This window comes from Homo sapiens, chromosome 2 (assembly GCF_000001405.40).
Source record: "Homo sapiens chromosome 2, GRCh38.p14 Primary Assembly".
Lineage (NCBI taxonomy): Eukaryota > Metazoa > Chordata > Mammalia > Primates > Hominidae > Homo > Homo sapiens.
This window is the reverse complement of record NC_000002.12, coordinates 205165114-205192452: the sequence shown is the minus strand read 5'-3', so window position 1 is coordinate 205192452 and position 27339 is coordinate 205165114. Positions and strand designations below refer to the sequence as shown.

At 38.8% G+C, this 27339-nt stretch overlaps 1 protein-coding gene across 18 annotated transcripts in view; it reads right to left on the bottom strand.

Moving 5' to 3' along the window:
• PARD3B (par-3 family cell polarity regulator beta) overlaps positions 1 to 27339 on the bottom strand; it is a 1074688-nt gene that overhangs the window by 427710 nt on the left and 619639 nt on the right. For 17 of the 18 annotated variants that reach the window (XM_047443208.1, NM_001302769.2, NM_205863.4 and 14 more), the window contains 3 exons: positions 20072 to 20242; positions 15876 to 16008; positions 6590 to 6689 (listed from right to left, as the gene is read on the bottom strand). In XM_047443208.1, the coding sequence (XP_047299164.1) occupies positions 6590 to 6689; positions 15876 to 16008; positions 20072 to 20242 (404 nt within the window). Of the gene's footprint in view, positions 1 to 544; positions 5252 to 6589; positions 6690 to 15875; positions 16009 to 20071; positions 20243 to 27339 lie in introns of those variants that run through there. The other variant, XM_017003294.2, reaches the window with a different exon arrangement.

Sequence of the window (27339 nt, the reverse complement as noted above, 5' to 3'; positions counted from 1 at the left end):
TAATTTTAATAAACTAAATTATAGCCATTTTCTTACCTTGGCACTCTCATCTGTTTGGAAAGTAAATATGGTGGCTCATCTCATTATAATTGCTATTCTAATCCCAAATATAGTGAAAATCCAAATCATGTATCCTTACAAAATCTAAAGTATTGATGTTGGGTTTTTCAAACAGTTGGAGTTTGATACTATAAACAACAAAACAATAGCAAAAATAACTGTTTTGAAAGAAAATCCTTCTAAAATGTACAAGAGAATCTCGACCTGAAATACCAAAATAAGTTTAATCTTTTCTTGAAACTCATCATCCCTCCATATTCAATACTGCTTTCAAGCAATATTAAAATTAGTATGCAGCAATAATAGTATTGCCAAATGAATAAATGAACCTCCCTTTTTATAATGCCGTGGGTAAATTAAGGAAGTACCTGTTTAGCCAGGTGTGGTGGCATGCACCTGTAGTCCCAGTTACTTGGGAGTCTGAGGCTGGAGGATCACTTGAGTCTAGGAGTTTGAGGCTGCAGTGAGCTAAGATTGCACCTCTTCCCTCCAGCTTGGGTGACAAAGGTAGACCTCATCTCCTCCACCCTCCCCCAGAAAGGAAGTACCCATCAACCAGCACAGCACTGTGGTGTGTCTGGCCCACTCTAAATCCTGGCTCCGGTACTTACTAGCAGTGTCAACTAAGAGACTTACTGGACCTCTCTGGGCTTCAATTTCCTTATGTATAAAATGAGTAAAATTACACTCTCTACCTCACAAGGTTGTTGAGAGAATAGAATGAGTGAAGATTTGTAAAGTAAGGACATTAGGGTCTGGTACAGAGTATGTGCTATAGAAACAGATAAATTAGGTAAGTTAACAAATAAGCAGATCAGTAAAATGTCCTACTTTTGCTTCCCAAAACACTATAAATTTCTGAGTTTTTCCCATTACCTGTGCTTTTTACAGTTTCTTTGACATCTCTGTTTTTGTCAGACTCTCAGCAAGTCTGTGACTAGGAGCCCTTTTCTCTTTCTATTTAGAAGGGTGATGTGGTTTGATGGTTAGGAGAGTGGCCCCTGTAGGAAAATGTCAGGGTGAGTGGCCTCAGTTTCCTCATCCATAAAATGGATAAGAATAGAATTTATGACTCTTTAAAATTTTTGTAAGATACGTAAGTTACGTTATATATTGAGAAAAGTACCTAGCACACAGTAAGAGCTTGATCAACCTGAGCTATTAAGAATCCTTTTCTTTATTTCTGTAGGTTAGTATGGTCTTCGAATGAGGGCCTAAGGCATTTGCCAATGAAGAGATTTCACATGTTTTCATAAAAATTTCTCAAGAAGTTTAAATCCTCTCTTTAGGGTTATGTAGCCTTTTTTTTTTTTTTTTCTATTTCTTTCCTGGTGTCTGGGTACATTCTCAATACACGAAGCCATTGATATATAAAGTGTATTAGATATGGTATCTAGTAATGACAAAATATGCCAATTGTGAACAAAAATCCTGGACCCACTTAGTGTTATTGACACTAGCCTGGCCTAATAGCAATACTTTCATTTTTTCAGCCCATTTTATAGAAGAATTCTGAGACACTACTGCAAACATGAGCTTTCCCCTGAGTCTTGGTGTTTGGAAGCACTTGCCTTTAAATGTGTTATTCGACCTTTATTTGCACTTAAGTTTTCCATCCTTTGATCTGTTGTGATGATGTGGGTTTAGTGTCAGAAAGACTCATGGCCTTCATAGAATCAAAAAGTTTAAGAGCCAGAAGGGATTAAAGGTCACCTCATCTCTCAGATAAGACCCTGAGGCTCAAAGAGGAGAGTTGGCATTGCCAGGTCACACAGCTGGCCAGGGGCAAAGCTGGGACCAGAGCCAGAAGATCTGGCTGAAATGGTGGCCAGCCTGGGACACAGGTTGTTGCTGATCCCGAATCCGCAAAAATCAAGCCTTTCACTTTTAGTGAAGACTTGCTCACCTTTTACTATGTGGCTTACATTTTAGGTTTGCTTTTTGTTTCAATAGAATGGTGCACATCATGCAATAATAGAAAACTAAATCCTTAATCAAAGCAGTGAAAGCCTCCAGGGAGGAGGTGTAGGACCCTCATTAAAACATAGATCAGATTGCATTTAAAGTGCTCTGCTCAAGGCAGACTGAGAATCTACCCAACTGAACAATGTGTTGGTGAACCTGACTCATTGTCTTAGTTTATCCTCTTAAGCCAGGTGTTAATTCACAAATTAGGAATAAGAGCTCAAATTTTCCCAGACTCTTAGGTAGCAATGATCCCAATCCCCGTTTAAAAAGTAAGGTGGCAATGACACTCGATGCAGTAACATCAAGCTAGGATCTGTCTAATAAAGTGAACTTTTATACAAATGTTGGCATATAATCAAGAAGGATCAAAGAAATAAAAGGCTGCACTGTACATATGAATGTAACAAATGCTCTTATGTACACATCTGATTATGTCCTTTAAATTGATCATAATGAGATATCTACATATCTATCTATATACATACACATATATGTTACCATCATTTTGATTGTGACCAAGTGTACACTTTGAAAACGTTTCATAAAAGGGCCCCCCCTTTGCTGCGGTACAAAATGGAAATAAGGCAAATAAGGCTGATATCAGATTGATGGATATTAAGGAGGCAAGTGAGTGTAATATAAGTCATAGGATTAGAGCCAATGTGGGCATATAGAGCACCAGAATAATGAGTGAGTGCCGTATTGAGTTAGTTCATGTGAAAATATTTTAGACATGTAAGTTAGACTAGTAAAACGGTTTGTAACTTTACGCTACATATCTCGAGTGTTTGCATTAAGAGGGTGACACAATGATTAACTATGAAATACAACATTTTAATTTTGAAGGGAGTTAGCATGTGCTCATGGCTGAGTGGGCTGCAGTGAAGGCTGTTGGAAGCTGGAAGTTGACAGCAGGCCAAAGACATGTCTTAGATAAAGGCCGTGTTTTCAGCATGAACGACCAGAGAATCTACCAAATAGAAACGATACTCAACGTCAAATTATGCTGCCTAATGAATAAGTAAGGGTAGCATGAAACATATGCCAGTGTTTGACTATGGTGACAAACCAGGAATGTAAAAGATGTATAAGAGCCAACAATGAATGTTCAAGAACTGTCTGAGGTGAAAAGGTGGGGGATGAAGATTTTGAGAGGCAAGACAAAAACCATGATGTCTGAAGTCTCAGGTGTCCACAGATGGACTTCAACAATTGGCTTCTATGAGTGAGAGTAGTTTCAGGTATGTGCATGAAGAAACAGACAGAGAGAGAGAGAGAAAGAGAATATGAACATGTGGGGAATAGCCCAATGTTGTCTAAACTGTTAATAATATTCGATATATTCTGTCTGCTGCTGATTTAGCTTCAACTCTGCCTGAGATCTCACAGTAAGTTTATTTCCTTTATATTTATTTATTACTTAGACCCACATATTATAAACTTTTCTGTAATAATCATTGCATAATAGTAAAAATAGGTTGAGCAATTTCCTGATTTCATTTTGTACAGGCATTAAGTTTGATCAAATTTGTTTTTCTTTCCTCACGCCATAGCAGTTTTCTCTTTTACAAGATTAGCCTCATCCCTCCAACACCCTTTTTTCCTTTGAGAGGGCTTTTCCTTTTTTTTTTTTTTTTTTTTGAAAGGCAGAAGGCAGGAGAGCCTTTCTTGCTCAATCCTCCTGGCTCCCTTCCAGTCCTTCCTCCATCCCAAGTTTCACACATCCAACCCCTGCTGCTGCTGGTCACCTAGGCAACGCAGCAGCTTGCAGGATGGTGCAGGTCACACGATCCTAGGAGGGGAGAGTTTCAAGGCTTAAGACTTGTTCCTTCCATTTTTAAAATATCTCTGCCCTTTCTTCTCCACCCATGCTTCTGATCCCTCCATCCAGGCCCTGCTCTTCTCTTGCTAGTCCCAAGTCGGAGCAGCCTCCTTGTCTATGGCGGCTTCTGCCATTCCCTCCACCCTCCATCACTGAAACTGCTCTGCCTGATACTGTCATCTCCAGGCTCAAAGCGCTTCAATGCTTCTCCACTGCTCTCCGGAGAAGCATGGCACCCATGGAGCAGGACAGACAATGCCCTTCCCATTGATTCTTCCCTGAGATACCACAAGCTTTAGCCACACTGAACACACTCTGCATTCTTTCCCATCCCTGGTTTCCTTAACCTAAATTGCCCTTCCCGCCACTTCTCTGTCTAGAGAGCTTTCTTCCGTTTTCCAAGAAACTGCTTAAACACTGCTCTCCTGTGAAAACTTACTTGACAACTCCAGGCAAAGTTAGTGGCTTCTTCCTCTAGGCTCCCATTGCATTTTGTATCTAATGCTTAGCTGGCTGCATCCTAATTATCTGCGTGTCTGTCTCTAAGAGGACGCTGCATTTCTTGCAGGCAGGGATGCTTTCCAATCCATTTGAGTTCTTTCTACAGTGTCTGGCTCAGAGCTCCAGAAATACTTTTGAATGGATGAGTAAGTGAATAAATGACTTAATAACCAAATACTGCAGAGTGGAAAAGAAGAATGAAGTCTAAGACAACGTCATACTTTTGACTGAAAGGAGATTACCGTTGATGATTAAGAGAGCAGTTCTAATAAAGAAGTGAGAACAGAGGCCTAAAACACACGGGACTAGGAAGGAAGACGTGAAAAGAAGATGGAAGTTACTAGTTCATACCATGTAATGAAGATTTACAGCAGCGAGGAGCAATATAAACTTTTTTCTCTCCCCAATTCACAAAGGAATGGCTTTGCAGAAAAGGGAAGGAAAGAAATCCGTGGAGACTTTGAAGCCAAAAAGACAGTTGCTAAATCCCAGGTGATCTCTGAACCACCTCTCTCCCTTGAAGGTTTCTCATCTGAGTGCTTCTCTCTAGCCTCCCCTGCACAGATGCTCAGTACCTCTGACTGCAGTTGCCCTAAAAGGTATCCAAAGAGTCCTGGCTTCCAGGGGATATCAAACCTCTTCCATTCACCCAATCCATGTTATACACACACAAAAAACCCAGGTTTCATTCTGTGTATTACCTGCGAAAACCCTGCAATAAGATTGACTATCTACCAAATGAAGTCTGCATACCTTATTCTTGCACTCTGGGCTTTATCATCTGGCTGATCAGCTCCACCTTGTACAATTCAATTTACTCTCCCGTCTCTATGCTGTTTCTTCTGCTGCTCTTCCCTCCCGAAATGCCCTTTCTTCCTGGGCTCATCTCATGTCCACCTGCTATTCATGAGTTAGGGTTCAGCTCAAATGACACTTTTACCATAGTATTTTCCCTGATTCCTTTATCTGGAGGCATTCTCCTCTGCCTCAGATGCTCAGAGCATTTTATCTATACCTTCTGGTAAATATCACTTGGAACCCTTGTGTTCCAGTCGTCCCATGAGCCTACCTGTCAGCCTACCAGCTTCCTGAAGACAGGGTTTATATCTGATTCAGCTTTGCACCATCCCAAACATTTTGCACATATATACAGGATAAACAGTAAGGTAGAACAAATGAAATTATGTTTTAAATGGCTTTTTTTATGCCACCAAATTGTCATTTTCAATTCAGAATCGAGGCAGGCAATGGAAATGAATGGACAAAATTAAATAGGTCCACATTTTCTTTTATGAAACCCCTAGAGACATTGATCTAGAATATTATTATGATTATCAATCTAGTTCACGAAACTGTAGTTAGCAAGATAACTGACTTCAAAAGTATAAGAATCAGAGATAGCTAAATATAGGTGAGCTTCCACCTAATACAGTTAGCTATACTCTAAGGCATGCTGCTTTATTTTTAGCAGACTGTATTAAAAAACATAATAGGAATGACACTAGCATTGCTGCAAGAAAAATGAAGAAATTTCACAGGATTATCATGGGACACAGAATGGAATAAAATACACAGTTTCTAACAGCCATAGTAAATATAGAAAATAGCAAAGGGACAATTTAATGATTTTTAAAACTCATCAGAAGAACAAAATCTATGAATTCCCCTTGTCAAATAGTATGTATGCTTAGTAAATCTCTCTCATTCTTGTGTGATTCTAAAAATTATTGATTTTTTTAGTTTCTATTACAGAATGGATATAATATTGGGTACCCTCTTCAATATTTTAGATTATATATGGTGTTGCTTTAATTTTTAGATTCCATTAACTTTCTTGGAACATCTATTTTTAAAATACCTCTAGGGTTTGCCAATTACTAATAAAAACCCATAAGCTTCCTATTTTCTCAGTTTTGTTTTATACCTTCCCATGTCACTTTTCTTTGAGCTCCATGGCTCTAGTTTTTAAATTTGTAAATGAAAGTTCAACCATTTTCTTAAATATTTTAATAATTTAAGGTGAATCTTAACAAATACCAGGAAGCAAAATATGCCCAATCTAAGCTATTAGCTATGAGAAACTTTCACTGAAGCTTTCGCTGGAAAGGAATTATAGATACTATAAGATTTCCATTCCAGAAAGAAATAGAGTTAAAATAAGTTTGCTGAATAAGGTTGCTGTGTTCTCCCAGAAAAACAATAACAAGGAGCATTTACGATACATCATTTTATCAATACCTGTGGCTGTAATCTTCGAGGCCCAATCCCAGAGCAGAATGTGGTGTTGGAGAAGGTGGAACTTCACTCTCGGCCCATCCGTCATTGGGCAGCAATAGACCTATAAACAAAGAACAAATGAAGCTGTATAAAGTGGAAGCAGAACCATTCGATGCCTGGTTTGGTTTCAGTATCTCTCTCAGACGCAGTTTTAGCCAACACATAAACCAGCCCTGAAATAAATAAGTTCTCATACAGAACTGAAGGATCCTTATGAGAATGAATACTGCTTGTATGAGGAAATCTAAGCCTGCTAATATGTTTTTACACTGGTGACCTGCAGGCAACCCCTAGCAAACCCACTCCACAGATCTTGACTACCTTTTCCCACCAACAAAAGGCTGACACATACTCATTACCTGTGATTTGTGGAAGATTAACAAAGTCATCTGTTTTATGCCTTAATATTTTTGTAAACAAGTCTCTATAGTGAATACTCTGGATTATATGGTGATTAAAGCATTTGCTTCAGTAGCAAAAACTTCTTTTAAAAAATCACGATATAGTATATCTGTCCACCATTTAGACATAGTGGAGATAAACACACACACACACACACACAAACACACAAACGTGCGCTCTTTTTTTCTATCTGTGCCATAATGGAGACATCTGAGTTTAAGGCCTTATAAGGAAAAGACAGGGGTCTAAATCCTGGTTTTCCCATCTACTAAAAATGTATACTTTTCCAGTTTGTTCTGTACTATAAGAATAGACATGTATCTCTAATATCACCACAACTAACAAGTAAGGTTGTTGAGATCTTATTATACAGCAGACATTATATTAAGCCTTGTATATTATTTCATTGAATGCTCATAATTACTAACCATATTCCCTAGTGTATGAAAAGCATTATATAACATCGTGGTAAAGTGCATGGTTTTTGGAGCAAGACTGCCATGTTTCCAACCCTACTGCTGTGTGAACTTGGCAAATTACTCAACTTCTCCAAGCCTCAGTTTTTAAAGCCATCAAGTGGCAACAAGAATACCTTTACTGGAGGAATATGAGAATTAAATTTTATTTATATATATATATATGTGTGTGTGTGTGTATATATTTATTATTATTATTATTTTTGAGATGGAGTCTCGCTCTGCCACCCAGGCTGGAGTGCAGTGGCACGATCTTGGCTCACTGCAAGCTCTGCCTCCTGGGTTCACGCCATTCTCCTGCCTCAGCCTCCCGAATAGCTGGAACTACAGGCGCTCGCCACCACGCCTGGCTAATTTTTTGTATTTTTAGTAGAGATGGGGTTTCACCGTGTTAGCCAGGATGGTCTTGATCTCCTGACCTCATGATCCACTCATCTCCGCCTCCCAAAGTGCTGGGATTACAGGCGTGAGCCACCGCGCCGGGCCAAACTAAATTATATTTAAGCAGTGATTTGTAAATGCATACTGTTAAGTAAACAGAGGATTATTATTCCATAGATTGTAAGTTCTACTTGTATCTATTACAGTGACATATTTGATAAGATATGTACCTGATTTGTCCCTGAATGACAGAATAAGGGACAAATATCTCTACCCTTGAGAACTGCTGTTGGTGATAAAACCTGCTTTGGCTTGTCCACGTGCTGGATATGATGGTTAATTTTATATGTCAATCTCACTGGGCCACAGGGTACCTAGATATTATTCTGGGAGTTTCTGTGAGGGTGTTTTTAAACAAGATTCACATTTAAATAAGTAGACTGTCCCCTCTAATGGGGTGGGCCTTGTCTAATCACGTGAAGGCATGAATAGAACAAAAAAGATTGCCTCTCTCCTGAATAAGAGAGAATTCCCCGACTGAGTGACTTTGACATGGGACATTGGCTTTTTTCTATCTTCAGACCCAAACGGAAACATCAGTTCTTCCTGAGTCTCAAGCCCGTTTGTCTTCAGACTGAAACCACGCCACCAGCTTTTCTGGTTCTCCGGCCTTCAGACTCAATCTGCACCATCAACTCTTCTGCAACCCCAGCTTGCTGACTCATCCTGCAGATCCTGGGATGTGCCTGTCTCCATGGCCATGTGAGCCAATTCCTTATCATAAATCTGTTCACACACACACACACACACACACACACACACACACACACACACAACTTGGTTCTGTTTCTCTGCAGAACCCTGAGAAATACACAAGGCAAGGACTTGCTCCAAGCTCTGCCCCAGGCACTAGACTGATGTGGAGGTAGTTGTAGCACAGCTGACATGCCCCTGGGGATGAAGCTTGAAGCAGACCTGCTAAGTAGGTGACCAGGGGGAAAGAAGCACAAAGGCAGCGCCTGCACTGTGCCCCTGCACCACCTCCAACCCTAGGGGCCCATTGATTTGTTAGTGGTGGCAGCAGTCAGGCATTCAAGACTTGCTAAGAGAAACAGAACAGAAGGACTGTAATGTAAATTGGGGACAATGGACATCCTGGGACAACTTCCTTTCTGTTGGCTCTCATCTTCTATCCTCAACCTCTCAGTCCATCTTCCACAGTGATGGTGAACGTATTTGTGATCATGTAACTTGTTGCTCAAAATCACTTCAGCTGCACACATTGCCTACGGAATAAAGGTCTATGATCCTGGCAAACAACTTTATCTCCCATTACCCGTTAGCTTACCATTCCCTGCCAACACCCCTGGGTGTTCCTGCCTCAGTATCTTTGCTTATGTAACTGCAAAACCTACTCTACCTGTCAAAATCCTACCCTTCTCCCAAGGTCCACCCAAATATCACTTTTACTATGAAGCCTTCGCTGTTGCCAAGGATCTGTCACTTTTATAACAGTGGCCAAGAAGACCAGTGCCCACTCTATCCGTGCTCTTCCTCTCTTCCTGGGCATACGGCTGGACACCATTGCTAGGGCCTCTTTGTCCCTAGACTAGTTCTTGCAAATGGAATGTGGGCTGCTATGATAAATGTCATTCCCAGTCTCAGTGGTTATGAGAGGGTGCAGCTTCCTCACTCTCTCTTCCTTTCCCCATCTACATCACCTGAAAGCCAGGTGACGAGGTGCCCAGCCACCAGTGGAAGGAGCCTAGGTCCTGTAATCACTGCATGGAGCACAGCTGCCAAACCTCATTGTGCAGTGACAGGACCAGGAAATAGACTTTCACTGTCTTTATCTATCCAGTGACACTTTAGGTTTATCTATTACTTAATATTATGTAAAGTAATTCTTGGATAGCATTTATCAAATGCCACTTTTGCAATGAACTATGTATGTATTTATTGTTCTATCAAGCTATTATCTATTTATCTATGTCTATTTCTTTTACTAGACTGTAGATAACTTTCTCCTCGTGTTCCTCTTTCTCGTTTTTCCATGTCTTCTACAGTCTCTTCTCTAGCTAGTTTTATTACAATCATTAAATTTAATTTTTATTACACTCATGTGAACCATTTATCGTTCTTTATGTGTTTATGTGTTTTTCAGTGTTTTTTTTTAAAGTGGTGATCGGTGTAGAGGTAAGTACCTTGTTTGTTGAGGTAAGTATCTTATTTGTTGACTCTCTATCCTTGTTACTTTTTTTTTTTTCTTTTTTTGAGACAGAGTCTCACTCTGTCACCCAGGCTGGAGTGCAGTGGTGCGATCTTGGCTCACTGCAAACTCCGCCTCCCGGGTTCAAGCCATTCTCCTGCCTCAGCCTCCCGCGTAGCTGGGACTACAGGCACCTGCCACCAAGCCCAGCTAATTTTTTGTATTTTAAGTAGAGAAGGGATTTCACTGTGTTAGCCAGGATGATCTTGATCTCCTGACCTCGTGATCTGCCTGCCTTGGCCTCCCAAAGTGCTGGGATTACAGGCGTAAGCCACCACACCCGGCCCCTTGTTACATTTTTTAAACAACATATTCAGATGCTGTAAGGAATTTTTATTTTCTTCTGGGCCCAGACACCTTTGTTAAGCCCTTGTTTCAGTGTAAAAGTCTGGAACTCTTATCTCCTATAATAATATTTCTGGATTTCATTGAGTGTACGAGGTACAGTCTTCTTGATGGTCATTTCGTATATATCTATGCCTGTAAATGTTGACACAGCACTCCCTGTAGTCATTACTTCATTGATGGCCAAATGGCTCTTCTTTTTAATTATCATCTTTTGTTGTTATTTGTGTTGTGGGATCTATCCTACCAAGGCCACATCAGAAAAGAATGAGTAAAAGAGATTGTAACTTTAGACAACAGGTCAGCAAGCTATGGCCCTGGTCCAAAACCAGCTTGCCACCTGCCTTTGCAAATAAAGTTTTACTGAATAGCCATGCCTATTTGTTTATGTATTGTCCATGAGTGCTTCTGCTCTACGATGGCAGAATTGAGTGATGACAGAGACCTACAGTCCAAAACCTGAAATATTTACTATCTTGCACTTTAAGGACAAAGTTTTTTGACTCCTGCTTCAGACTATTCTTAAGGACAATAATACTACTGCATTCACCACTCCTGATAGTGTATTCTGCACAATGGAGGTATCCAATAAACATTAGCCAAATTGAAACGTATAATTCAATCTTGGATAGTCATTCCAGACGTAGTGCTTTACATGCTATAGAGGGGTAGATACATGCTGGTCCCCAGAAAGATACACATTAGAAATAATTCTACTATGATGTGTCTCAGAGGACCCCAGGGAATACGGATCCAGAGAGACAGGTCACAGAACCACCACATTTGATTTGAGATGGAGATGAAAGGCCTAACCCAGTGGGTGATGCTGGGCAGATTTGGGGGCAGTGGGTGCCTAAGACAGGAGTGCACTTGAGCTGAAAAAGGAGAAGCAGGAAAAGAGCTATATAGGGGAGACAAGTGCAGTGAAATGAGAGGTAATGCTAACCAGAGGCAAACTGCATGAGGCTATTCCTCGGCCCAGGGTAAGATCTGCCAGCAAGATTCCTCAGAAAATACAGTGTTGGTGCATTTCATTACCATTCAAATGCTTAACAGGATTTTATAGGAAGCCCCTGGGACACAGCCTCCATCCCTATTACCATCTTGAAGCACCACACTTATTTCACTACCGGCATTGCTAGCAATTCTTCAGTACAAATGTGAATTTTCTGGTATTACGATTTCTATAAACATTAGTTCTAAAAATGCCTTTTTTCTGTGTAACAGCTTGACAGGAATAAAAAAAATAAAAACCAAGAACTGTGGGTGGTATGTACTATTATTACAAAAATAAATGGAACACAGAATATCAACATTGGATTCTTAAATATACAAAGGAAAGGAAAAAGGAAAGAAAAAAAAAAAAGCCAATGTTTTGGCTGTAACAGCTCCTCTCCTCACTAGACATTACATTTTGTCAAGTTAATCTTGTTTTTCTAAAGAAGATCCTTAAAAAAACTGGTAGTGGCAATCAACATTCAGGTTTTATAAGCCTTAGTGGCCTGTTACCACCTGACATGGATCTGAAACTCAGGAACTCCCAATAGTTCCCTAAATATAAAATGCCATTAATATTACAAAGACGTGATGGCCATGATACTCTTTTATAGCATCATGTTTATATATTCTGCTATAATTTTTTGGTCTCTAAATCAATAGACTTACATAAAAAGTAAGAAAATTTCATCTACTGGCCTCTAACAATGAAAATGTAATAAGTCTGTGTTTTGATAGGCCTAAATTTTATAATCTAGTATGGTAGCACAGATCCACAAAGAAAATATAATAATAGATTTTCTCTACTTTTGAAAAAATAATGTTTAATGGAGTCACTTTGGAAGAAAGAGAAACAGGAAACTTGTAGATAGTTAATTTATATATTTTTTTCACTGATGTAAAAATTGTTCTAACTAAATCTACGTCCTGGGAAGAAAAGAAGAGACAAAATCTCCCAGTGGTTGTCTGAGGCCACTTGTGCCCAAAGGACTCTATTTGTACAGAAGATATACAAAGTCTGAACATTCTATTGAAATTCCAAACCAAATGATTATTGTATTGTATTTTTTAGCATGCACTTGGAGTGGATTTTCTTATTTTTTGTTTTCTGGATGTATCCTTACACATTAACTACTTCTATGGTTTCATTAGTTTAGCCTTTGCTATTCTTTGCAGAGATATTATTCCATTTACTTAAGTATCTCAATGTCTTCAGAAAATACATCTTGTGTCACTTAAGGAGGATATATTCTGAGAAAAGCTTCGTTAGGCAATTTTGTCCTTGCATCAACATCATAGTGTACTTACTCAAACCTAGAAGGATTAGCTTACTCTGGTAAGCTCTGTGGTATAGCCTATTGCTCCTAGGCTACAATCCTGTATAGCATTTACTGAATACTACAGGCAATTACAACACAATGGTATTTGTGTATGTAAACAGAAAAGCTACAGTGAAAATCCAGTATAAAAGATAAAAATTGGTACACCTGCATAGGACACTTACCATGAATGGAGCTTGCAGGACTGGCAGTTGCTCTGGGTGAGTCAGTGAGTGAGGATGAGTAAATCTGAAGGCCTAAAACACTACTGTACACTACTATAGACATTACAGACACAAGGCACTTAGGCTACACTACATTTCTAAAAAATATTTTCTTTCTTCAATCTCAGTAACTTTGTTACTTTATAAATTTTAATTTAACTTTTTGAATCTTTTTAATAACAGCTTAAAACACAAACACATTGTACAGCTGTAGAAACATATTTTTTCTTTATATCTTTATTCTATAAGCTTTTTCTATTATACTTTTTCTTTTAACCTTTTAAACTTTTTTGGTAAAACCTGAGACACAAACACACATTAGCCTAGGCCTAGATAGGGTCAGGATCATCAATATTACTGTCTTCCCCCTTCATATCTTATCCCACTGGAAGGTCTTCAGGGGCAGTAACAGGCACAGAGCTGTCATTTCCTATGGTAACAATGCCTTCTTCTGGATACCTCCTAAAGGAACTGCCTGAGGCTGTTTACAGTTACCTTTTTTAAAAAATAAGTAGAAGTGTACTCTAAAATGATGATAAAAATTATAGTATAGCATTAGGAATTTTTCAGCTCCATTAAAATCTTATGGGACCACCATGATATATGTGGTCTGTTGTTGACCAAAATGTCATTATGTGGCACATAACTGTATTTTATAGACATTAAAAACAAAAGGTACTTAGTGTTCATTTAGATGTCACTGGTGTAACTAGGAATTAAACTCTAGACTTAGACAGACACTGGGCCACACGTTGCTAGAGAATTAAATGCCAATCAAGTTACATGAAATCTAGATATTTTAATACAAATGTCCACATTCGTGATCATAAGGTAGAAAGAAGACTGTTTTATTTTGCAGAAAACTTGCCATTCCTTTCCCAGGCTCTTTTGCTACTGCAATTTAAGATTTCAGAAGGCAATCTTGTTCTGTCAAGAAAATTTTTAATTTCTTTTTTTTCTTTGAAACAGAGTCTCCTTGCTCTGTCGCCCAGAGTACAGTGGCACGATCTTGGCTCACTGCAAGCTCCGCCTCCTGGGTTTACACCATTCTCCTGCCTCAGCCTCCCGAGTAGCTGGGACTACAGGTGCCTGCCACCATAATTTCTTTAAGATGAGAAAAGACATACTGAGTATTTTTTTTTTATCTGTATACTAAGTAAAGTCAGCTTCTTCTTTTTTTTTTCCCCCCCCATAGTAGCTGGGATTACAGGCATGTGCTATCACATCAGACTAATTTTTTTTTTTTTTTTTTTTTTTTTTTTTTTTTTTAGTACAGATGGGATTTTGCCATGTTGGGCTGGCTGGTCTCGAACTTCCGACCTTAGGTGATCTGCCTGCCTCGGCCTCCCAAAGTGCTGGGATTACAGGCGTGAGCCACTGTGCCCGGTCTAAAGTCAGCTTCTAATGGGCATTCTCAGTAGGTGAAAGGACTCCAATAGTTTCAATAGACCAATATAAGTCAGACCCATGCTGTGGTTTGGAAGACAAACTGAGGACAGGGAGACAGGAATTGAATCCAGACTGTGCATGTATCAAATATGCATTTGTGAGTAAATTATTTACTGACTTTCTAGACCTTCATTTGTAAAATGAAGATAACATTATCCACTTTGAGTCTGCAGGCAAATTGCTCAACACAGTATCTAACAGACAGTAAACACTTAATAAATGATAGCAGCTGTTGCTACTACTCTTGCTAAAATGGAGGAATTCTGTGGAAAAAACAACATCCCATTCTAATGAGATAATTTAATTCTAGAGCCACCTCAGATTTACAAGTATGTTATGATGGAGTAATTTCACAGCTTGGAACTTCTTTCCACATAGTTAAATTATGATAACACTTAAGTGTTCAAAATATAGGGACTGATTACATAATATATGGTACTTACCTTCAAAAGACACTATGCAACTACTGAATGTGATATTGTAGAAGAATATTCAATGACTAAGAGGCATATAATGTGCTATTAATTTTAAAAAGAAATTTCCTAAACATTACATACATTTCATTATTTCATTTTTTGTATAAAATATTTTCATTAAAAAGTCCTGAAAGATATACATAAAATGTTACTGATTAGGATCTTTGATAGAAGTATAAGTAAAATTAAATTTTCTTTTTATTTCTTTTCTCTAAATTTTCTGCAATGAATATGTATTGTTTTTGTAATAAAAAATTCATTTTATTAAAGAAAAGAGATACAGGGAGATAAAACAATTTTCTTGGTGACCTGAAGTATATTTTTTAAAAGACAAAGAGGAAAACCCAGATTTTTTTACATCTGGAGTCAGCTAGAAATGGGATCCACATTAGATAATAAGGCAAAACAGTGTAGCAAGACAATAACAAGAACATTCCAACCATCACGAGATGGTTTCAGGTTAGGATATTCACCCATTTATCATACTCATATTAGAATCGAGGATCATCTGTGAATCACGCTATGACCATTTTATGGATTATAAATCCATACATTTTTAAATTTTGGTAGTTATTTATTTATACTTGGTAACTTCCAGTATTAGAAGAGCTTAAAAATAACAGTTTGCCATCTTTGATTCTCCAGTGATCGTTTGTTTTATATATAACCCTCCATGTTTGGGGCAGCAAGCACAGAAAGTGTCACTTAAACTAGAGACATTGCCAGGAATCTGATTCACAAGTTCTGAGTCAGCTCTCCCCCAACTCTCTCAGTGTTTGTGACTCCGAGTAACAAAGTCTGCACTTAGTCTAATTAACTCCCCTTTACTCTTTTTTTTTTTTTTTAGATAAAAAGACACTTTTGTGTTTTCTCACTCCATTTGCAGTGGATAAAATGAATAGACTCTTACCTTTCTGTTTGTCTTGTGGACTGCAAGTGCCAAGTGGATGCAGGATACTATTATCATTTCGCCTAGAGGTGGTTACAGCATTTTGACAGTTCTCAAAGCATGGCTTGGAAAATGCCCCACACTCTGCAGGATCCTAAGAGATAAAAGTAAAAATTACATTTGCATTTTTAATATGTTCCAACTTGGTCAGTTGAAGCAAAGTGAAAGAATGATCGCTGTATGAATAGTCTTTCAAGAGTCTATTACACTTAAGTCCTCAACTGTGGAAACTCAAAATGGCCCTATCAGTGAAAACATCTTTGAGTCTAAAATAAAAAGTACTGACACTGTGGTGCTAAGGATTAGGAGTGCTGATAGCCAACACAAAAGAGGATTAACTTTATTATTCTCTTTTCCCACTTATAACTGGCTTCTTTCAAATTTTCTTCCATCTGGGGAATACAGCTTGTGGCAGTGTCAACACAAGAATACAGTTCATGCCAAGGGTGTTTCTCTGCCAACCAGCTGGTTCCTCTCTCTCTCTGCGCCTAAGTGCATATGCTCTAGGACAAGTCAGAATTCAAGCAGGTTCGCCTCTGAAATACCACCAGTGTGTCTCTGTGCAGATACTAGGTCTTTGGCCAGGAGCTAAATCAAACCGCTGTGACGCCAGACAGCAGTTCTCCTGAGGGTTCCCCCCCTATATTTCCCCTTCCTATTTTGATTTTTACAGTCTGTAAACACATTCACAGTTTTCTGAAAACTGCTGTATCCAGAGTAACACCCCTACGATCCATCTTCCACAGGTGCTGAAGAAGGAATTATTGGAGGAGGCTGATGATAGAGAACTCTTAACTATTTTTTTTTCCAAAAAGGTTGGAGCAAAGAGAATTAGGGTATGCTCTTGTTCGTATTATTTGTCTCAATAACAGATTTTAAGGAGGTAAATGATTTGGAAGCCATCTCATGGCTGTTCCCTTGACCATTTGTGAGAAGAATGTACCACAAACAGCAGCACCCATCTGATTCCCAGAGCTCTTCTGAGTATAGCATTTGGCTAAAACAAAGCATTGGATTTATATTTTCCTCTTTGGTTATAAAAATTCAGTGTTGAGCTAGTCACACAAAATATCTAAAACATTCCATTTATGCATTCTTAATAATTAAAATGTTTTCAGCTGCTGAAGGTCCTTTAGCTTTTTGTCAAGGCTTGTAACACTTTTCCCACACCCAGTGTATTACCCTTTCTTCTGAACTGCTAGTCAAACTGAGCCTGGTATAGGAGGTAAGCTAGTCCTAAATTAAAGCTGGAGCTGCAGCAGGAAAGAGAGCTAGGGCTTGCTTTGCTCAGCCTTGTGCTTTGATTTAACAATAACAACAAGAACAAAAAATTTTTTTCTGCTTCCCCAGCTCTTTGATAAATGACACAATCGATATCCCAACAACTGATCAGTAACCAGCCTAATTAAAGTATTCAGCCTGTAAAATAGAGCCGTCGCAGAGCCCTCCATTAGTGTCCCAGCCAATAAAAAATATAATGGATTTTTAAACATATTCTGCTTTTGCCACGATGAGCTGGCAGCAGGGAGGGAAATGTTTTGGGGAAAGGAAAAACAAAATCAGGTCATAACCCATTTTTTAATACCAAGTCTCTAGGCTCAAATAGAATTACAATTGAACCTCAAGCTCATCCTTTGAAAAATATGTTTCTGTTTAAAACAATTTTGATTCAATCAAGGGCTCATTATGTATTCTTCACAAGGTCCTCATCAAAACTGTTTACATATCTTGTACATCTGGGTAATGCGGGAAAAATCCCAACAACTATATATTTTGACTTTTCTTAAGTAGCTTCTTCAATTTTTGAGATATCAATATAATGTTCAAGCAACCATTTTGGTATTCCTGGCAAATCTAACTAATTGATTTGCCTGAATGTATCAACAGTGCTGAGACCTTTTTCTAGGTTATGGATACTTTTTATTGTACTGGAGGGCAAGTGCTGTTCCACCAGAGAATACAGCAAAAACATGAGCACACAAAATATGCTCTGACACAGTGAAACACAGATTTGAAGATCAAACAGTTGCAATTTTTTTCAATTTAATAAAGATAAACTGTACATTAGTCTTCTGTCTTTATAAGAAACAATGCTCTTTAATCTTCATGGGTACCGCAGAGATGCTCAGTAGCCGAGAGTCAAGTGCCTGCTCATTCCCCATGGAAAGCATGTAAATATTAGGGAAACTAAAAATGGATCTTGTTTAAACGTCCTCATAGAAATTGCTTTTTGACCCAGTTCTTATTCTTGATCAATTCCCTGGTGATCTACATTAACATGGCACTTCTGATGGCGGGCAACAAATGAGAGTTTCATACTTTCTTCTGATGGAATAACGCCAATCTACCCAGAGTGTGAGAATTAAAATGAAAATACCTGCAGTAAAGGGGAATGCAAATAGTAAAGTGTGCCAACTCGATGAGCCAAAATATATAACGCCTATCTGCTGTCATCTACTAACTCTTTTAGAACCATAGTCATTTCTTTTTTAACTTTTGCTATCTGCACAGGTATGTTATGCTACAGCAGTTTTTTCTAGACTCTTCTATTAGTTGAGGTATCTTTGTTTAAAAAGTCTTAAGGGAGATCTGATATGCAGATGCACAGAAGGGATGACTCAGGCGTTCGCAGTCCATCCTTTCAACTCTCTCCAATAAACGGGTTCCATGGAGTCCTAGGGCTCTAGAGTAAGAACTATCCTAAACCAGATGGGGCCAATTCTCTCAGGGCAGGAAGTGGCAGATAAGGGTGTTATAACTAGGTACATAAGTAAAGCCCATTAAATATTTATGGAACACTGTCACTTAAGCAGACACAAATGTTGAAAATAAGTTCATTATATTTAGTCTCCAGTAATTGGCCAATTTAAATTTATTTAACATCTGCGAGCTTATATAAAGGAGAGCATAAAAGGTATAGCTACTCCTTGCCCGTAGCTGATAATAGAATAAAGTAAGATAGAGTATATAACTTTACTACTCAAGTTTACTCTCTGAGATGAAGTAAGTCTCAGATGTGACATTTTCATTCACTCAATATTTATCAAGCATCTACTACATGCGGAAACCAAGGACACATTAAGGGATAAAACAGACAGCAATATCTGTCATCTATGAATACCAAGCACTAAATTATGTATGTACTTACATAGCCAGGAAATAGCAAATCTAGGATTGAAACCCAAGCAATTCGAAACTCCAGAGCTGAAGCTTTTAACTACAATGAGCCCCACTACCATTAACTCTTGATTAACTTGATAAAGCTTTCATTTTTCAATTATTACGCTGAACTCTTTATTAAAACTAGTACTTTATATTAGCTTTTTAAATAGTTTTTTAAATTTTGTATATTATTTTATTACACAAACACAATTTGGCCTTAGAGAATATCCTGATATGACAAAATGTGTGATTTGCTGATGTTTTTCTAAACTTTCAGTACTATTAACTTTTTCTTCTTAGCTTTTTCTAAAATTATTTTATGAGCATTTAATAATTATTCTTCATATAAGAGAAAATAATGTTTTAGGTATTTTTATGTTTATATGTATAATGTTAGGAATATTATTATTAAAGCTATCATACACTTAGACTCCATGTGTAAGTGAAAATATTCTTGATATTTTAAAAAACTTATAAAAAATAATAAAAGATTTCAAAAAACAAGACTCCCATTTATTTAATAACATGAGCAAGCAGCTTGTTTAATAAATCAAATGTTAAATTAGTTAAGTCTCAGGTCTGCATTATTTATATGCAGATTATGGAAGAGAATACAGAGAGCTGACTGCATTACAATGATCTCCACATTAAACATTGTACACATGTGATTAGACACTTTCTAAGGTATGGACACTGCTAGCATATCAACCAAAAAAGTATATAAAGATGTTTATGAACAAGTTCAGAGCTCTTGGAATTTCTGGGGGAAAAAACTAGAAATTATAGACCTGTTACATCTGATAAATGACTTACTTTATATGCACATTTTTACACCTTTCTATTATACCTAAAATACACAACCACCTGTTTCCCATCAAAGCCCTTCTGGGGCATATTTTCTCGATATGAATCTAGCTGCCATACTAGGAATGGAAGTCTGCATATTCTGGTGGCAATTTGGGCAACTGGCTGAGGAGAATCAAGATTTGCATCACCTCCATTGGTCTCTCTGGCCTCCTCAGAATCACCAACTGGATCATCCCTCGGATGTTTCCCTCCATGGACATTGACCGCCTAAGTGTTTCCATAGCTTCGTGGTTGGACTTTCCCAAAAGAGATTCCCCATTAACTGCAATCAGCTGGTCATTCATTCGCAGACGACCATCCTAAGGCAGAAGAAAGGAAAACAATATTCAACAGAGAAAAGTATGGTGATGACATGTGGCGTTTTGGGGAAAAGTTCAAGTTTAAAAATGAAAAAAAGAAAAAAAGAAAACCTAGCTGTTAGAAGTGATTTATTTTCCATGGCAGAAAAAGGCTCTGGAGCTTATCAAATAGTCACAAATACCAGTGATAATGAATTGTGTGAAAGTATTTTTTAGAAATCTTAGAGTCCTGAGCTGCAATAATTTAGACATTTGTATAATGCCTCTTACCTAAATCTTTGGCAAGCATGCTAATCTGACCTGATTCTGCCATTTGCTCTGGCGGAGACCATGTTGTTGACTCAAGGGAAGGGGGTTTGGAAACCAAAGGAGGTAGTCACAACTCTTGAAAGGAGAATTTGCCTTTTCAGGCACAAAGAGGCATCATGCATAAATGCTGTGTGCTTGACAGTAGTAATGTATCTCCTGATATCATTGCTAGCTCTACTGAACAGTACTAAAAAAAAACAACCACATAATTTTGTCTAACACAACCACAAAGTTGCTCGTCTGCCAAAGAACACAGAGGTGTGTAGAAAAGGGCCAGTTCGCCCTGATATTTTCTGGTGGAAAAGCTTGACAAAAAGAATTGTCAAGGTTTTTTCAAAGAGGCTCTGATGAATGAGTACTTTCAACCAGCATCTTCAGGAAGAAATACCACTTACTACAAAGCACAAAGAACCTCGGCATATGAATACACAGCCCAGACTGTGGTCTCATTCACTTTTGAGTGAATGAGGCACTGACCATCTCCAGCCAGAAGTCCCTCATAAGCAGAGGCCTAGATCAGTGGCTGACACACTGGGATGCCTGCTCTGCCTAGAACAGAACTTGAAGGGACCACAGTGCATTTCCCCAAAGGCAGCCCAGGAGCAAAGATGCTTGAAATGTTGACAGCCAGACTCAGGGGATATGCTCTCTACCTATTCTACACTCAGGTAGAAAGTGCTTGCTATAAAGCACAGCTGTGATTACGAATGTTATCATGCTGCTGCTGCTGCTGCTGCTAATAAAGTCAACAGAATTAACAGCAGGTGTGTAACAGTTTACCCTTACAGAGAATTCTTCCATAAATTACCTCTAGTGATTCTCACAGAACCTAAGAATTTAAGATTTATATTTTCAGAAACATTTTACAGAAAAGGAAACTGAGGCACAAAATGTAACTTGTTCCAGGCCACGAAAGTGAGTCAAAGGTTCCCATGAATCTTGACTCTTTAGTTCTTCCACGACAATTCCCTTTGTTTCTTGTCTCTAGACTACAACTGCACAACACAAAAATAGGGAAAGGAAAATATTAAAGAGTTCTAGTGGTGAGAAGTATCTGGGATTTGTGGTCAAATTAACAGAATGAAATGTAAAAGAAAAAAAAAGTAAAAGAAAAAAAAAAGAAATGAGATAGCCAGACACACACAATGAACAATAGAAACCAACCAGACAGCTTTGGGAGGGAAACTGTGCAGACGGGTCGTTAAACTCGGACTAATGCAGTAGCAGATGGCCCGAGGAAGTCCCTCTGCTGATAGTGGAGAAAAGGGAGGGCATGGTGAGAGCTGCTGTTCCCCAGAGCCAATGCCCTGGTGAAGACACACTGCCCACGCCGCCTGCTGGAGAGGGTGTTAGCCACGTGGGATTGCAGGGGCCGCCCATAGGAGGACACACCCACTCGGGGAAGAAATGGAGATGGCAGGGTAATGGGATCAATAGACAAAGGCGTCAAGTCAGAGATGTAAACCGTTTAAGTGGACCGCCTCCTCAGAGCTTAATGTCCCCTGCCTTCCTCTTGTTTTCCCATTTCACTTAACCTTTACCCTAATTTGAAGCAAGTCTGGAAATGAGATTTACAGGAAAGGCCAAACAAGAAAGAAATCTCTTCATTTCTGTTATCCAATTTTGAGTGAGGCACAAAAAAGCATAAGGCTACATGAAATGGGATATGACGGGCTGGGCACGGTGGCTCACACCTGTAACCCCAGCACTCTGGGAGGCCGAGGTGGGCGGATCCCCTGAGGTCAGGAGTTCGAGACCAGTCTGACCAACATGGAGAAACCCCGTCTCTACTTAAAATACAAAATTAGCTGGGCGCGGTGGTGCATGCCTGTAATCCCAGCTACTCGGGAGGCTGAGGCAGGAGAATCGCTTGAACCGAGGAGGCGGAGGTTGCAGTGAGGCAAGATGGCGCCACTGCACTCCAACCTGGGCAACAATAGCGAAACTCCATCTCCAAAAAAAAAAAAAAAGGGTGGGGGGAACAACAAAAACACCCTGAATGGTTTCGTTATGTGATGTGAGATATAACTGGAGAAATATTTCTGCTCTATTGTCATATAAGAAAGGAGAACCATTGGGCTGAATCTTGTTACTAAAAATCGTTTTAGGATGACTGGAGACTGATGTGTGGTTTTTAAAGAGGAGGAGGAAGCAGAAGAGTTGAATCCAGTTCCTGGTCCTAGTCCTGTTAACAGGAAATGAGGTTAACAGGAAATGTTGAGATTTTGCAGTGCTTTGTCTTGGCAGGACACCTCATCTGCTACGACAGGAAGAAACAAGATAAAGATGGAAGCTTTATGGGAACCTCTAGAGATGGAGGGAAGGAAATATGAGTGAGATCCCACCTGGTAATCTCTTGTGAACCTTTTCTGTGAAGTATGAGACAACGTCAGAGTGAAGAGGTAGATAACAGACAAGAAGATAGGAGAACTTTTGGTAAAATCTATCAACAGTTACTAAGCACAAACTTTTTATTTTTTATTTTTTTATTTTCAGTTACATTCTAAATCTCAAGCATGCAGAATGACACTGAAGTAGGGCATGTTTCCTGTAACCAAGTCCCAAACAAAAAGACAGTTCAGGTCACCTCAGGGCAGCTGAAATTTTTTTTCAAAGACATTCACATTCATCACAAGCATCACCAGAGAGTTGTGGGTGCAATAAAAATCCACACACTCTCACTGTCAGGCTTGGCTGGTCTGTTGTTATTGGTGTGTGCTTTTTCTTTATAAGATAAATGATGTGTAATTTCATTAATGGCGATGCCAGTAAGCACCATGTTGTCCTAACATTTAGAATATAATCACTGAATTTAGAGCTGGAAGGGTCCTTAGAGGTCATCTCATCCAACCTCTTCCGTTTACAGATGAATAATGGGATGCCCAAAGAGGATGAGAAACCATTTATCGAACACCTATTAGGAAAAGGCACTTCCACAGATATTAGACTTGTTCAGCTAGTTAAGGTCAGAATTGGAACAGAACAGCCCAAGTTCTGAATTCCACAGCGTCCCTATTCACCAAACCATTCTATATTCTACATAGATGACAATGACAAGCCCCTAAAGGGGTAATGCTTCAAGAAAAAAAAGACTTTCAGAACCAGAGAGGACAATATGCTACCAGATATCTCCTGGAAGGGAAGACAATATAAAATCAAGACACACAACAGAAGATATGGAGACAGGAAACTGTGCAGGGGCATGGCAGAGCAACCCAGAGGAGGGAAAAAAAAAAAAAAAAGGCTGTCTACCTACTTAGCTAGACATCCATACATGCACGTCTATGTCCAGTCTTGACCTAAAATGAAGTTGATTCAATGAGGAGCTCATTATTCAAAAACTCATCAAATCTCTCTCAAAATTGTGTATGTCCCATTTGCTTTGGAATAATTTGGACAAAGACAATCAGCTTTTTATGGTTTTTAAAATTAATATTAAATTCTAGTAAATATTTAGGCATGAGAATATTAACTTTCAATTGACTTTACATAAATGAATTCAAATATTCAAGGATGTTGCTTGGTAATTCTAGGATATTTATTTCACCTGGGTTATGCTTGCAATATTCACACACACACACTCTCTCTCTCTCTCTCTCTCTCTCTCTCTCTCCCTTTCTCACCCCTTTTTCTTCCTCTATTACTCCCATCAGACTCCTAAGCAAAAATACTTCAATTATGTTCCCCGCTTCTGGCATCCCCCCATAACCAACTCCATCCTCAAGCTAGAAAGGAGTAAAGGAAATTCCCAAAGGGAAGGAAAACATATTAAAAAGAATCAGGAGGACAGAGTAAAGACAAAATGTAACTTCTTCAGTGCACTTTAGAACGAAAAAACCTGGTATGAGGTTAGGTCTTCTCCATGTCCTGGCATGGTTTCAATCTCATCAGCTTTAGCTGGTCCTATCACAGTAGGACGCACAGAGGACCAGGAGACAAGACCTTTGAGTATGACATCTCCCTTTTACTGAACACCTAATGTAGGCTAGTCCTTGAGCATGTCTTTTGCATATATTTGCCCATTCATTTCTTACAGCAACCCTGTGATATAAATGCTACTCTCTGCTATTTAGGAGATGTAAAGATGAAGGCTCAGAGAAATTAAGTGACTTGTCAAAGGGTATGGTCATAGCCAGGTCTCCTCATCTCTCAGGTTAATGACATGAATCCTTTATGCTACGTTGCTTCTACATTCAGACTTTTAGAGATTATTAAAGGCACTATATTAATGACAAAGAGTTTCTACTCTGTGCATCATGCTAAACCCTTTACATGTAGCAGACAATTTACTCCTTATAGAAACCCTGTATATTTGAGATTGCTGCCCCCATTTTATAAAAGAAGAAATTGCAGTCAGAGAGGTTAAATGAATTGTTACAAGTCATGTTTCTAAAAGCAGATGTGAACTAGGTCTGGGTCACTCTGCAGCCCATGTTTTCAAACAATCTGCTAGTGATTTTTAGCCTTTATGGGTTCTTAGACTCCTTTGAGAATCTAATAAAAGCTACAGATACTCATTTTTGAAAAAAAAAATATTTACACCAGGGTCTTTCCACAATTGTACATTTGGGCCAGATAATTCTTTGGAGTGAGGGGTCGTTATGTATGCTGTAGGCTACTCCATGTGTCCTCTAAAGCTTATTTATGATTGCTGGGGGGTGCAATGACCTTGTAGTTCATCCCCTGTGGTATATTCACTGGTGCCTGGGTACTTCCTCTGCCATGATTACTGGCAATGTTGTGTGGCTTAATCCACCTGGCTTGGCAAATTTTTTGTTAAACCCTCCCCTCAACTGCCCTGTTACCTCTAAAATTCTAATGAATACAGAGGAAAAGTAAGAAAGCCAAGGCAAAGAACTGAACTAGCCACTGAAGAATATGAGAGAAGCATGAGAAAGTGGGCTGGCTTTCCCAGGGGTAGCTGGCTGTGGCCCAAGGCCAGTCCACATTAGTCCAGGGTGTTGAGAGGATTAATCATGACCAGATGTTGGCTTCTGCCTCTGCATGCTTCTAACGGGGCCCTTGGTACGGCCTCCTGGGATATTATCAACTCCCAGGTCCCAAACCCCAAAGCTTGACTTCAGGTTGCAGAGCAGATGTTCCCTGGAATAGGGCTGGACCCCAGGCAAGATGGCACCTGATTCAGGGAGAGAATTATCTTCAACGAATCCTTCTCATGGCCCTACAATCACTCTATGACAACATCTGTCTACTGCATTTTTTGAAAAAACAAATCAAACCCCCCAAAAAACCCAAAACCCTAAACTAAGAAAAGAACCTTGTATTCCAGATTGAAATCATTTACCTTCATTTAAAAACAATTGCAATGGAAGGGCAAGAATGAATCAAGATTTTTAAAGTACAGTTGTTAAAACAAAAAAGCTACTACATGTTTCACATCATTTCAGCTTATGTGAAGAGGTCCATTCTTCCCAAATAAGACCTCTATTTTCCAGGCACAACAGACTGTACTTTGGTGTACATACCTTGGTGACTTTGCCCATATTCTTTCTTCTACCCAAAATGCCCTTTGCATTCCTGCTCACCTCTTCAAAGTCTACTTACTCCTCACCCCAAGCAAGCCTTGCAATTGCCTTCCTTTCATAGTTTTCTCCCCAGACAGAATTAAATGCTTCATCATCTCAACACCCACGATACTTCTCACATTTGCCTATCATAGCTCTTATCATATTAGTGTTTTTTATATATTTAATGTATTGTGTTACTACCTTCCTAGATTATAGAATGGGTAATTTTAAGTATGCGGTGTCTAGTCCACTATACACTGTTGTCTAACTCACTCTAAATGTTCAAGAAGTGCTTGCTAAATTAAGTCAGTCAGGTGTTTTGGTCCTGGTGTTAAGTTTCATCTACAAATTGTAACTATGAGAGAGTCACGAACCTAAGCTGTCTTGAATATGCCAGGGCATATTCAGAGAACCTTCAGAATTCCAAAAAAGAAAAAAAAAGTTTGATTACGTTCTGTATACTGCCCCTATCTCTACTTGTTCAGAAATTGTAAAATTTAAATTTATGTAATTCAGTTATTGTCTTAAGAACCTCACTCCATTTCTATGTAACAAACCAATGAAGTCCCAGCAGCAAATCACCTGTGGGCATATGAAGCTTTTATTTATTTATTTATTTATTTATTTATTTATTTATTTATTTATTTATTTTTGAGACAGAGTCTCTCCCTCTTGTTGCTCCGGCTGGAGTGCAGTGGTATGATCTCGGCTCATTGCAACCTCCGCCTCCCTGGTTCAAGCAATTCTCCTGCCTCAGCCTCCCAAGTAGCTGGGATTACAGGTGCGTACCATCATGCCTGGCTAGTTTTTGTATTTTTAGCAGAGATGGGGTTTCACCATGTTGGTCAGGCTTATTGTAATAAGCCTGACTATAGGAGTTAACATATGCATAAACCATTCTGAAATAATGCTTTCAAAATGTATTATAAATCTTTTCATTTTAAAATCATTCTGGAAAAATATGGGGCATAAACAGATATACTGCAACTTATGGCCTTTACTATGGCCACATTGAATCTTATAATTTCTTCTGCAAGAAAGTTTGAGAAATACTGACTTCAAACCATCAGAAATATTCTCTGGTGTACCATACAATAATAACATTCTGTGCTTGTTTTACACTTTTTTCTTTCCTGTCATTCCAGTTTCTTCTCCATCCTTTCCTATCTCCTTCCTGATTTTCTGCTCTTAATTTACTTTGGCCTAGAAAACCAGATTAAAAAGAAGCTTGTTAAAGCATATATGTTATATATGAATTAA